Source organism: Homo sapiens, chromosome 15 (assembly GCF_000001405.40).
Source record: "Homo sapiens chromosome 15, GRCh38.p14 Primary Assembly".
Taxonomy (NCBI): Eukaryota; Metazoa; Chordata; class Mammalia; order Primates; family Hominidae; genus Homo; species Homo sapiens.
Genome location: NC_000015.10, coordinates 68,771,932 through 68,785,725, shown reverse-complemented (window position 1 = coordinate 68,785,725; position 13,794 = coordinate 68,771,932). Strand labels below are relative to the sequence as shown.

Genomic DNA, 13,794 nt, shown 5'->3' with positions numbered 1-13,794 from the left:
GATCACACGTGTCTCAGTGCTTTCTCCGCCCCTGCTTGTCAGTGTGTGTTGCCTTACCGTCCTGGGGCGGGAAGCTGCTTTTGGTAGCAGGTGCTGGGCTTGCCCACACAGACCACTGTCAAGACTTCCTCCCTGCCCTTGGCTTCTGCTGAGAATGACCCAGGTCTCAACTGCAAGGTCATAGAGAGAGCAACCTAGCTCCCGACATTGACTCCAAGGAGCAATGGTTTCACTCCCTTGTTAGACCTGGCCACCTTTGGAATGGGGACTCAGCCTGGGATGGGATTTTTTTGTACCTGGTGCCTCAAAGGTGGGTGAGGTGGGAAGTCAAAATGTAGCTCAGTTACTTGCAAGCAGTATGACCCTTCACTTCCTGGGCCTCAGTTTCCTCTACCATCAAACAGGGATAACATTGGCTAGAACCCGTCTGGTGTAAAGCTTTGACAGAGCACATCGTGTCAAATACCATGGACAGAATTGGGGTCCTCCATTGCTTTTTCTCTTGTCCTTTTTTGACAGGCAATATTCAAAGAGTAAGAGCACAGGTCTGAAGTTGGGCTGCCTGATGAATTACCAAATCCTGTGCCCTCCATTTCCACATATGTGAAATTAACTAATAATTATTTCTACCTTACAGGGGTTGTGAGATAAAGTGACTCAGTACATGAAGTGCCATGTTAACCGCCCTTATCATCATCATTATCAGATGCAGAAGGAGTTAGTTTGTTAGTTCAAGTTGACTTTTGGTTTCCCTCTGGCTCCTTAGTCTCAGGGAGAGGCAGTAAACCTCTTGGCTCATGCACCAAGAAAGCCCCAGGCTAATTTCAAGTCAATCACTGTTAAGACAGAAGCTGTAATTGCAGAATAAAAGTGTTAACATTGGATAAGGCTTCAAAGATCCTCCAGTCCAACCCCCCATTTTCCAGATGGAGACGCCGAGGCCCACAAACTGCAGGTGATATGTCTGGGCAAACACTGTGGCTAAGCAGAGCCAAATCCAAGCTTCCTTATCACCTGGAAGTCATGGTCTGCGCATGCTATCTCATGGCATCCTTGCCTGTTTGCTAGGGCTGTTCCTCCACCTTCCTCCCACAAATCACTTACTGTTGGCTTCATTTTTCCGCTTGCAGAAAAAGTTAGAAAACCTCAAGAGCTTAGACCTTTTCAATTGCGAGGTAACCAACCTGAACGACTACCGAGAAAATGTGTTCAAGCTCCTCCCGCAACTCACATATCTCGACGGCTATGACCGGGACGACAAGGAGGCCCCTGACTCGGATGCTGAGGGCTACGTGGAGGGCCTGGATGATGAGGAGGAGGATGAGGATGGTGGGTGACAGGGTGCGGCCCAGGGCTGCAGGGGCCCAGCTGAGGCCTTGGGGCTCGTCCTTGGCTTTGCAGAGGTGGGTGGGCTGGGTGTTGGGAGGCCCCCACCCAGCTACTGAAGGCTGGCTGTCTGTCTGGTAGCTACCACCTTCCAAAGCTATGGAGGGGAGTAGGGCTGTCTGCTTTGTTTTCCATAGTCCCTAATCTGTCTCATTGGTTGACTTCCCTAAAAGAACAAAGCATGAGTCCCATGCTCATGGAAATATCCTGAGATTCTCCAACTGCATAATAACTCCTTTAAAACCATCCAACTGAATCCCCACTTCAATTTTTGTCCCTTTTCCAAAGCCCCCAGGGAGTGGGATTCTACAGTCTTTCTGTAGTGTGACCCGCACTTAGACACTCTCCCAGGGAGGGAGGGAGGGGATAGAGAGAGAAGAGTGTGTGGCCTGAGGACCCCTCTTTCCCATCTAGGTATTCAGTAGTGGAGAGGAGGTCCAGAGCTAGAGGGGTTGTGGGGCCCCCTGGTGGTTGCAGCCTACAGCCCCACACCTAGGGGCACAGGCTCAGGTGCTCAGGAGCCCCAGGTGCTCAGAAGTGGAGGACTGCAGGCCACTTGTTGGGTTCCCTGGCAGTGTGGTGTGTAGTCGAGGCCTACAGGAAGGAAGGAGGGAAAAGAAGGGAGTCCTGTTCCCTCCCCTTCTCCCTTGCCACCAGCACAGTGCAGCTTTCCCATGCATCTTCGTGGCCAGATAAAGTTGAGAATGGAGACACTTGCCTGATTAATTAATTCAGATACAGGATTTTGGTTTTCTTTGTTCAATTGGGAGTGTTTTGCAAGATACTCAGAGACCATGTTTGCCTTGGTGGGGATCTTGTGATATGGCAGAAAGGAGCCAAAACTGGCAGTCCCGGGACCAGGTCCCCTAGGCCCAGCTCAACTAGTGACTCGATGCGTGACCTTGAACAAGTCAGTTCTCTCTGTGCCTCAGATCTCTCACCTTTAACCTGAGGAGTTTGATTTGATCTTGCCGCTTTCCCGGGCCCTGGAACCTGTTGCTGTGCTCTGACAATTTCCTGGTGGTCTCGGTGTGAGAGGCCTCCAGAAGGGGCCTTTCACATGCATAACACTTGTGAGGGGGGCTTATCTTTGGCACAACTTCAGGATGTGTTTAATTATGTCAGCACTGTTTTCATGAGAGTTAGTGTGTTCCATCTTTGGACTTAGGTGGGTGTGGGAGGGTCATGAGCCCCACACTGAAGACGCTACAAGGGGCCTGTGCTGTGTGGGGGGCGGAGCCAGCTCACCACTAGTTCTGTTTCCGTTCCCCATTTCGATTGCACAGAGGAGGAGTATGATGAAGATGCTCAGGTAGTGGAAGACGAGGAGGACGAGGATGAGGAGGAGGAAGGTGAAGAGGAGGACGTGAGTGGAGAGGAGGAGGTAAGGAGGCTGGGCTGGGCAGGGCCACCGTCTGCCCCTTTGAGGCAGTCCCACTGACTGCCTCTGTGATCAGTCTTGGCAGCCCCGGAGCCCTGGTTAGGAAAGTCGCTCCCCGATGGGTAGTGAAGTGAGTCCATTTCAGAGCCTTTCACTGGGCTGTTTCTGGGGAGACAAGACTTGCAGTAAGCTCTGGGGAGGCTGGATTAGAAGAGGGGAAGAGGATTTTAGAGGCAGGGACTGAACCTGCTGGGGTAAGCCTGGCCGTTGTTTCTATGTGAAGAAGTACAGAATGCATGGCCCCATTTTCTGCTTTTTGCTTTCATATGCTAATTAAGATATTCATTGAGCACTTAAACTGTGCTAGGGAAAACCAAAGTCTGCCTTGAACTGATAGGTAGCAGGATAACACTGCTGGATCCCAAATCAGAGAGTGACACTATGGAAATAGAGCACCAGGAGTTGGCCATTTTCCTAAAGAGATTGGCTGGTTCCCAGTTTTTTAACAAGATCTGTGAGGGGGTGAGTCCCAGCTCTACCACTCGCAAGCTGTGTGTCCCCAGACAATTTACCTGACCTTTCTGAGCCTATTTCTTCATCTGTAAAATAGGGATCATGATAGCTTTCTCACAGGGTTGTTAAGAGGATAAAGTGAAGTGTAAGTAAAATGCTTAAGGACAGTGTCTGACAAGGGGTAAGTGTCTGACTGCTTATTGTAGGCGTTCACACCCTCCTCCAGGTTCCTGGCACTGTGTTGGGTTTTGTGTTTGTGTGTTCTGAGTCTCTCTGTAGCAGAGTCATTTTCTATGACTTGCTCAGAATTCTAAATCAACTCTTGCTAATTGCAAAAGTTAGAACTAGAGAGTTTTAAAGTGACAATAGCATGGACAAGGCGCCTGTGTCCCCTCCCAACTCCCCCCGCAGTTTCCTGTCTCCCTCAATGGAGGATGCAGACACATCCGCTTGCCACACGGACTCACTCAGATAGTGTCTTCCAGTTCCAGCCAGCCGGCCCAGGCTTGAGAGACACAGGCCAATGACAATAGAATCGCGGAGGCCAGGCGCGGTGGCTCACGCCTGTAATCCTAGCACTTTGGGAGGCCGAGGCGGGCGGATCACTTGAGGTCAGGAGATCGAGACCAGCCTAGGCAACATGGCGAGACTCCATCTCTACTAAAAATATAAAAATTAGCCAGGCATGTTGATGGATGCCTATAATTCCAGCTACACAGGAGGCTGGGGCACGCGAATCGCTTGAACCTGGGAGGCAGAGGTTGCAGTGAGCCGAGATGGCACCGCTGCATTCCAGCCTGGGCAATAGAGCGAGACTCAGTTAAAAAAAAAAAAAAAAGCTGGCCAGATGAGCTTGGTTTCTGTTTAGTTGTGCTGCTGGCTTTGCCTTCTCCCTAGGTCTAGACTCTTAGGCTCATCTCTAAAGAATATTGTATTTTAAAAATAAAGTCTTAGTAAAACAGGTTCCCCTAGAACAGGGCAGTAAGTTGTATTGGCTAATAGCTGTTACATCTTCCTCTTCCTGTCACAGGAGTGCTGCATGTGAGGTTTGGGGGGGTGGGGATGGGGGAGGGTTGTGGATTTTGTTTTTTGTTTTTTGTTTTTTAAATAATCTCACTGACCATCTGCATATTTCCAGCTTTCAGTAAAGGAGAGCTTATACATGCAAAAAAAAACCAGAACCTTAGCAAACAGACTGATGAGGGAACTCTTTGGTGACATTTTAAAAGAATGTTTCCCTTGACAAAAAAGAAGTCTGTCACCAAGTTCTTTTAAACTTCAGGAACCAGGTTTAACAAGCAGAGATTCAACTTGCATATACTTTCAGGAGCAGAGGAAAGCAAGGGCCCTGTGTTGAGAAAGAAAGTCATACACCTTGCTGAATCTCAAGCCGGTTGGGAATGATGTCCTCAGGGGGTCTTGAATTTATCTTCCCCAACCCTTCCAGGTGGTCCAAGTTTGCAAGCTAGGGAAGGGGCTGGGTCAGGTGACGTTGAACTTGCCCACAGAATCTGGATTTGCTTAAACTGGGGTCTTCTCTTGAAGCCAAAACTAGATTGAGGACAGATGCAAGAAAGGATGGCCTACTTTGCACGTCAGGGAGTCTGCTCGGGAACTTGTTCTCCTCAGAGAATGTGCAGACTGGAGAGCTGCCTGCCTTACAGGGACTTCAGATCAGAGTTCTTAACCTGGGTCCTGGAATCCATAACCCCCTGAAACTGCTTGCAAATATTATAAATGATACGGACATTTTCTGGAGAAGGAGTTCAAAGCTTTCTGCAGATTTCCCAATGAGTCCTTGATCTGAAATAAATTAAGAACCTCTGCTTTACATTCCTCCCGAGATGTCAAGTCTTGGTGGGGGCTCTGAGAGGCTGGGGGTGACCCCGGCCTTTTTGTGCTCTGTGTGGCTTCCTCAGCATGTCCCAAGGCAGGGCATTTCTAATGTTCTGGTGTCTGTCCTTTCTCCTAGGAGGATGAAGAAGGTTATAACGATGGAGAGGTAGATGACGAGGAAGATGAAGAAGAGCTTGGTGGTATGGCAGCCTTTTTACTCTCAGCTGGTAGCAGCCTGGCCCTTTCACTTTGGCCTTAGATTGCTTAGACTCAGAGGCCCCTGGCAGTGGGCAGGACACTCCTGTCAGAGGCCTCAGATTCCCCTTCCAGCTGTGCAGATGTCTTGCCTCGGTTTCCAAGGATGGCACAGCTTGCTAGTCATGGGTCCCCTGACTTCTCACTGGGTGGGTTGAGTTAAAGAGGTGGGATTAATAACTAATCTAAATGCCGCTTTCTTACTTTTCCAGAAGAAGAAAGGGGTCAGAAGCGAAAACGAGAACCTGAAGATGAGGGAGAAGATGATGACTAAGTGGAATAACCTATTTTGAAAAATTCCTATTGTGATTTGACTGTTTTTACCCATATCCCCTCTCCCCCCCCCCTCCAATCCTGCCCCCTGAAACTTATTTTTTTCTGATTGTAACGTTGCTGTGGGAACGAGAGGGGAAGAGTGTACTGGGGGTTGCGGGGGGAGGGATGGCGGGTGGGGGTGGAATAAAATACTATTTTTACTGCCACTCTTTATTTTTTTCCCCTACTTTTTCTTTGTGTCCGGTTTTTGTCCCTGTAAATGCGATAGCTAAGTACACACTAAGTGAGCATTTGTTCCTGACTCTCAAAGAGGATGGTTTGGAGTTCTCTTACGTTTCCTGGTATTTCCCAAGTCTCTTGGGTTGGTTGGAAGGCTGTGGCTGGTCTCAGTTTGGTTACTCAATGCCCAGGAGGGGCTGAGCACCAGCCATATCTTTTGCTTTGGTTCACATGATGATACCTGCTTTTCTCAGGCCTGCTAGAGGCATCCAACGCCCTGGTTTGTAAATAGCAACCTAAAGGCGTATTTTGGCACTGGTCTGGGGACATTCCCCATCTCTCATCCCTTTTCCCCCTTCACAGATGGTGGTGGGCTTCGCTCTACAAAGAGGACTCTGATGTTACTCTTGAGCTTATGAGCCAGAGAGCTGAAAACCGCAGGCTTGTTGTGTTAAGTTACAAGGAAAATGGATTTGGTAATTAAAATTAGAAGAAACACACCTTCAAACTTCAACTTCTTTAAAAGAAAAAAAAAACTGTCCTATCTTGTTCTGTAAAATATTAGAACGCTTTGTTTTACAAAAAATGATGAGAGAATTCTTCCACATGTACTTCTGTGCTTAGAACATTTTTACGGACCTAAGCGCTGGAGACGTTGCTGCATGTCGGCTGGGTTTTTTTTTTCATACACCCGAGCACGGAAAAACTAACGCAAAATTGTATTTTCTTACCTAGTGGAAATCTGAAATGACTGCAAATTCCTAGTGAATGTACAGGTTTGCTTTCGTGTCCCTCTTCTGGTTGCTTTAGAAGTGACGTGTAATTTCTGAACCCATGTTTCATCTGTATAAAAGAACATCTGCACCAGTTTTTCTCCTGCCCCTCAGAAGAGCCAAACTTTGAGTTTTATGTCTGTTTGTCATTGATAAATTTCAATAAATCTTTTTATACAATTTTTTTGGGGATGGCTTCTTTGAGTCCAACAGGCCATTGATCTTTTCAAGATGCATTCCAGATGAACTGCTAGGTGAGGGGGAAGCTTCATTTTTGTTACCTGATAGAATAGCTTTTCTTATGAGATATATATAATGTGATACTATGTTTGGATATTTTTGGTCTTAAAGCAAGACTCAGTGGTGTATCTTCATTAAAAGCTTCCTTTAAAAAAGTTACAGAGTTACTAAAAAAACAAGTACCCAAACAATCAAGTTGGGCCAACCTTGGAACCTTGTTTTGAATATCTTTCATTGTTTTGTTTGTCGTATTGTAAAAAGAATGTATGGTTGAAAACTCAGGAATGTTTATAAAACAAATTATTTCACAAACCCAGAGGTTTACATATGGTGTTTTATTTTGTTACTTTACTTAACAGTATTATAATCATTTCCCTGTTTCTTTAATTTTCAAAAGCATGTATCTTAAATGGCTACATAGTAGTCCATCAACTATATTCTGATTTACTTAATTCTAACCAAATGGTTAGATGTTTTCATTATGTCCAGCTTACCCCTGTAGTGGATATTGTTATATTACTACTTATTTATACTTTTTGTGGAGTTCTTAGTACAAACTCTTAGAAGTAGTAGAGTCATTGGACCAAAAGCTAAAAACATTTATGAGGCTCATGTACAAGGTTCCATGTTTTCCAGAAGAGTTCAGCCAGTTTACTGTGGTTGTTTATACACGTACACATATACTCATTCTTATGTATTCATTCTATACAGCCTTGAACCCACAACAAGCCCTAGTTCCTTACAATGTCTTATAGTTGTTGTGTGATTCCAGCAGTGTAAAGTGTTTCCAGAAGAGCCCGTGACCCACCTCACCCTCTGGGTGGTACCCTGGCACCTACTGCCCTTTGAAGCAAGCTACCTGTGGTTCCAAGCATGGGATGGAGAAGTGACCTCCTCTGGCCCAAGTGCTGTGCTAAGCATCTGGGCTGTGAGAATGAACTAGGCAGGCATGTTCTTGTGCCTCTCAGAGTGAAAGAACATGGGAGTGGGGTGAAACTGAGAAATGCTGTGGTCTGGCCTCAGATTTTCTGGCCCTGACTTCCCACCATGGGGTCTTTAAGGATCAGGTGTATCAGATACAGCAATAAATACTATAGGCCAGGCACGGTGGGTCATGCCTATAATCCCAGCACTTTGGGAGGCCAAGGCGGATGCATTGCTTGAGTCCAGGAGATCGCTTGAGACCAGCATAGGCAACATAGTGAGATCCTGTCTCTACAAAAAATACAGAAATTAGCCAGGCGTGGTGGTGCACGCCTGTAGTCCCAGCTACTCAGGAGGCTGAGGCAGGAAAATCACTTGAGCAAGGGAAGTCGAGGCTGCAGTGGGTCATGATCACCCCACTGCACTCCAGCCTGGATGACAGGCTGAGGACTTGTCTCACAAAGAAAGAACTACAAAATGGAAGGAAAAATGGAAGGTGGTGAATGGGTTGATGTTAATGGGCCTCAGGGAGGAGAACCCTTTCTGTATTAATCATGCCAAGCATTCACGTCAGCCCTTGAGGAAGATCATATGTCCATTTAACAGATAAGGAAAACAGGTCAAGTAACTTGGAAGAAGTGGAATCAGCATGAAACCCAGGCCCATCTGGGGCTATTTTCATTCATGGAACTTAGTGGCACAGAAAGCTCAGACAAAGGAGAGGAGAGAGGGGCAGGGCTGGCTTTTCCTGAGCTCTTGCTATGGGCTAGGCCCTTTCCTTCAAATGCAGCGTCTCATTAATCTCACCGAATCATCACAGCCACCTTATGTAGATGCTATTACCCTTGCTACACAGGTGGCTTAGAGGGTAATGCCCAAGGCCATACAGCCAGGAAGAAGAGCACCATCAGGAATTAACCAGGTGTGCGATTCCAGAGCCAGCCCTCTTGCCCGTACCATAAGTGCCTCCCACATCCTGACTCCTGCTCCCCAGATCAGACCACTTGTGTGAGTGAGGCGTGTTGCAGTAGTTCCTCACCCTGACCATCATGGCTTCAGCGAGGGAAGTCTCACCACTCAGTGTGCTAGTCAATGCCACAGGACAGACCCTTGAGAGGGAAGAACTTTTTCTAAGTCACCCCATGCAACCCTCTTATTTGACCAAAGAGGAAATCAAAGCCCAGAGAAGGCAAGTGGCGTGCCCAAGGTGGCCGTGCAAGGGAGTGACAGCCAAGCCTAGAACCCAGGACTCCCATCCCTGGGCTTCTGCACCATCTCACCCACAGCTGTACTGTTTGGGTGGGGGGAGGCCAGCTGCAGCGACAAGATACACAGTGCAGTGTATCTTCCAGGAAGAAAACAGCCGAGCCTTGAGTGAACAGGATACAGTGAGTGTCATGGCCATGTATGTGTTCTATGTGGCTTTGGAATGCATCATAGGTTCTTGATATTCACAGTGGATTTGGCTCCTTGACATTGTCCTATCTGACATTGATCACCACTGAACGGCTGCACATTTCCTGGTGCAGACCAGTGCCTGGAGAGGACAGTAATGACAATGCTTCTTGATTATGAGCTACTCTGTGTCATGTGCTTTCCATCCATTGCCTCCTCTAATCTTCATAGATTTCACAGAGGAAACCGAGGCTCAGAAGTGAGACAACTAGCCCAGCTAGTAAGTGAAGGGCCTCAAAACTACATCCTTCTGACTCCAGAGACCTTGTTCTTAGCCACTGTGTTCAAAGTACCAGGCAAATGAGGGAAGGGGGGTTGAGCAATTCAGTTTGTCTCATTTGCTGACTTGCAAAGGCTGTTTTTATCCTGGTTTAGAAACTCATTGTTCATGGTTGGAAGGATTCCCACAGTGGGTCTCTAATAAGCAGCTTTGGACAACAGCAGCTCTAAGTCCCTGGTCCAGCCCTTGGATAGGCCCCTGGGACAGGCTGGCCCAAGGGTGAGCAGGCCAAGGAGGGGGCTGGAGATGGTTGCACAGATGAGGGTAGGTCAAAGGCTGGGTCATCTGACTGAGGCCCTCAAGCCTGGCCGTGGTCGCACTAGCAGAGGAGAGATTGCCAGAAGCTCCGGAGTCACTGAGGCATCTGGAGTCTGCTGGCTGACTGTGAACTGGAGAGCTGACGCAAGGAACGTCTGTGGGGCTGCCTGCCAACCATCCGTTTTTCTTGGCCTAGCAACACCTCCAAGGGACCACTGGAAGGACTCACATGGATATGGACCATTCTCCATTCCTGAAGTTCAGATGGGCTGGCCCCCATCCCTCTGGGTCTTAGGTAAGCAAGTTATTTTGTCCTGGCCAGTCAGCCTAGTCCAAATCCTAACCACAGTGACTGGTACAAGGAAGGACCTGAAACCCAAATTGGTCAAATGAGGCTTGCTCCCTGGAATCTAGAAAACAAGAATCTTCCCGTGGGAGGTGCTGGGCTAGAGGATGGAGGCCTGGAGTTGAGGAGGCATAGCCCTTGGATAGAGCCATGACAGAGAACCAGCGAACCTCCAGGTGATCCCCTCTCATCCTGGGAGTCCCGATGAGTGCAATGAAGTGAGGACTTCAACAGATACTTAGAACTTACTGTTTGCCAGGGACTACACATTATTTTTCTTGTGTTTCATCATAACCCTATTCTGTAATCATCATTATCCACATTTCAAAGATTGAACCCATCTAAATACTCAATATTGGCTGCTTAGTGCCAGACACAACAGTAAATGCTTTATAAAACTCAACCTAGTGTTTCCCAAATTTCCCTGATAATCTCTGGGGCCTGTCAGACTGCCAGGCCTCATCCCTGGGAATTCTAGTTCAGTAGCCCTGGACTAGGGCCCAGGAATTTGTGATTTTAACAATGCCCAGAGGATTCTCATCATGAGGGAAGTTTGGGAAATGCTGCATTAAACTCAATAGCCACAGCTAATATGGCCATACTCATTTAAAACTGAGAAAAGTGAGGCTCAAAGAGGTTAACTGACCTGCCCAACATCACACAGGTGGCAAGCAGAATTCAAATGTGGATCCACATATCTTTTACACCTCTTGTAGAAAGGGGATGATAATAGCTACCTGTGTATCTCACAGGCTGTGAGATGATGGAAAGATGGTGTGTTAGTCTGTTCTTACCTCACTCTAAAGAAATGCCTGGCCGGGTATGGGGGCTCACAGCTGTAATCGCAATACTTTGGGAGGCTGAGGCAGGCAGATCTCTTGAGCCCAGGAGTTAGAGACCAGCCTAGGCAACATGGTGAGACTCTGTCTCTACAAAGAATACAAAAATTAGCTAGGTGTGGTGATGTGCACCTGTAGTCCTGGCTACTCGGGAGGCTGAGGTGGGAGGATCATTTGAGCCTAGGAGGTCATGACTGCAGTGAGCTATGATTGCACCACTGCACTCCAGCCTGGGCGACAGAGCAAGCAAGACTCCATCTCAAAAAAAGAAAAGAAAAGAAGTACCTGAGGCTGGGTTATTTATAAAGAGTTTTAATTGGCTCATGGTTCTGCAGGCTGTACAGGAAGTGTGGTCCTGGTATCTGCTTGGCTTCTGGTGAGTCCTCAGGGAACTTTGACTCATGGTGGAGGCGAAACAGGAACAGGCCCGTCACATGGCAAGTAAAGGAGCAAGAGAGAGAAGGGGGAGGTGCTGTGCTCTTCTAAACAACCAGATCTCTGAGTGAACTCAGAGCAAGAACTCACTCATTACCATGGGGATGGCACTAAGCCACTCATGAGGGATCTGCCCCATCCAAACACCTCCCATCAGGCCCCACCGCTAACAATGGGGATCACATTTCAACATGAGATTTGGAGGGGACACATATCCAAACCATACCAGATGGGAAAGAGCAGTGGAAAGTGAAAATTTCTATTTTTTTTTTTAAGTATGGTAAAGAATCCCAGGCAACCCAAATATTTTCTGTAACAAGGAGAAAACAAAATTTTCGATGGCCCTTGGTAATTAAGACAAGCTTCTTGGAAGTTTTCCTCCCTTCCCTTTAAAAATTTAGATTAGCAAAATCCACTCTGTTGTTTTTGTTTGTTTGTTTATAAATGTAAGGGGTACAAGTGCAGTTTTGTTCCATGGATGTATTACATAGTGGTGAAGTCTGGGCCTTTAGTGTAACCATCACCTGAACAATATACATTGTATCCATTAAATAATTTCTTTGTTTCAACCACCACAGTCATGATACATTCCATGGACTATCTTGGTTATAAAAAGCAATGGATTTGCCCTCTGGGAGTATCCTAAATCTTGCTGATGGCCTTCTGCAGGTGTTACACATTTTGGTGAGGCACTCAGGAGTCAGGAGACCTGGATTCTCATCCTAGCTCTGAAACTAACTAGCTGGGTAGTCGCCAAGTCACCTCTGTGTCCTATAAAAACAGTGATGCGGACTAAATGACTTTGACAGTCTTAGTCGATAGTTTGTTGTATTATTTCCCTCATTGCCCTGGGGCCTATAGTTACATCTATTTTGAACACAAAATAAAGCATTCCCCTGCCAAAACTCTGCAGTGGCAGTAGGAAGGGTCAATGTGGGAGAAATAGTGGCCTCTCTAGTGAGGCAGGAGTGTTTTGATAGAGAATTTGCAAAAAGACTTTCTGAGGTCTCAAAGTGTAGACCGATAGCCTGGTCTATACACACCTACAATTGCCTGGGTAATCCAACTGGCTCAATAAGGAAGTACAGATAAAACCAATCTGTATTGAGTGCCCTTTATGTGCCCAGAGCTTGACACATGTGATCTCATTTAATTCTCACAGCAGAATTCTACTTGAAGTAGCTATTAATGATTTCCACTTTCCAGATGAAGAAACGGATGTTCAGAGACATTATGTTAAGTTGCTCAAGGTCACACAGCCAGGAAGGCACCAAATGGTATTAGAACCCGTAGCTTCCTGGTCTAAAGTATGGAGCTGTTTCCTCAATTTTTAGGTCTTGTGCAGCCTACAATGAACTGCAGCAAGATTCATCTCACCCAAATCTTGGCTTGATTAATTTCACACCTTTTCTCAAGCATCCAGCTCTCAGGCCCAGCACGCTCCTCCCACTCATCTCTGCAGTTCTCCAGACTTCCAAGCCTGTGACAAAACCAGTCTCTCCATAGTCCCTGGGAACAGATGTCTTGCAACAAAAATGTTTTGAACCTCAGGAACAAGGATAATGGATCTCTACTTCTGGAGAGAGGGACACTAGATGTTGTGAAAGATCAATAGCAGCTCCTTTCAATGCCTGAAAAATAGGAAGAGGCAGCACAGTTGGTGGTACCATCCTAGGCTAGAGCTAGGAAGCCTGTGTGACCTTGGACTAACCACCTCTCTCTACTCTTCACCTCCCAGAATGTCAGGAGATACAGGGCATCCATGCATGCTGATAGGAATGATCCAGTAGAGAGGGAGGCATCAACGATAGAGGAGAGAGGGGGAGAATCTTGGAGAAAATCAGAGGCATGGGTTCTAGTACATAAATAGAAGTTTGGCCTTTGGAAAAGGACAGGACGCTTCATCCTTCATAACAGGAGAGCAGGAGAAAGGCTGTAGATACAGGTAGGTGGGCAGATTCAGTGGAGGGAAGATGGGAGAGTTCATGTTGGCTTTTGAAGGAAATGTGAGGCAAGGTCATCAGTGGGAGATGGGGGCACAGAGGGGCAGAATGGGAGTGGGAAGTTTGAGGAGAGACAGGAGGCATGAGAGTTGTTTTGGGGGTGGGAAAACAACTACACCAGGAGGCATGGGAGGGCTAAATGCCCACTTATTTGAGACCAGTGAGCATGACTTTAAGGGGAGGCCCATCACCATGGCTCAGCAGCTTGAGTGCAGGCACCAAGGAGGCAGACAGTTGCGTTAACTAGCCAGATGATTCTGATGAGTAAAGCACAGGCCATGGAGGATAGGGCATTTAGAAGGCTGTAAGGATGGACCATGAGTTCTAAGCTGGCTAGGGAGGGAAGTGAGTCAGCATTGATAGTGAGAAGGTGGG

The 13,794-nt window shown here is 47.1% G+C and overlaps 1 protein-coding gene across 1 annotated transcript in view, besides 1 other annotated feature; it reads left to right on the top strand.

Moving 5' to 3' along the window:
* Positions 1 to 7,191, top strand: part of ANP32A (acidic nuclear phosphoprotein 32 family member A) — a 42,361-nt gene extending 35,170 nt beyond the window's left edge. Inside the window, exons 4-7 of the mRNA NM_006305.4 lie at positions 1,131 to 1,329; positions 2,673 to 2,770; positions 5,253 to 5,316; positions 5,584 to 7,191. Coding sequence (NP_006296.1) covers positions 1,131 to 1,329; positions 2,673 to 2,770; positions 5,253 to 5,316; positions 5,584 to 5,645 — 423 coding nt within the window. The 3' untranslated portion in view covers positions 5,646 to 7,191. The remainder of the gene's footprint in view (positions 1 to 1,130; positions 1,330 to 2,672; positions 2,771 to 5,252; positions 5,317 to 5,583) is intronic.
* Positions 2,659 to 2,708: a silencer, noted in NCBI's record as "silent region_6588". NCBI's record gives its function as "represses an Ori minimal core promoter by ATAC-STARR-seq in GM12878 lymphoblastoid cells {active_cell/tissue: GM12878}" and the evidence as "EXISTENCE:reporter gene assay evidence [ECO:0000049][PMID:35858748]".
* Positions 7,192 to 13,794: the final 6,603 nt, after the last annotated feature.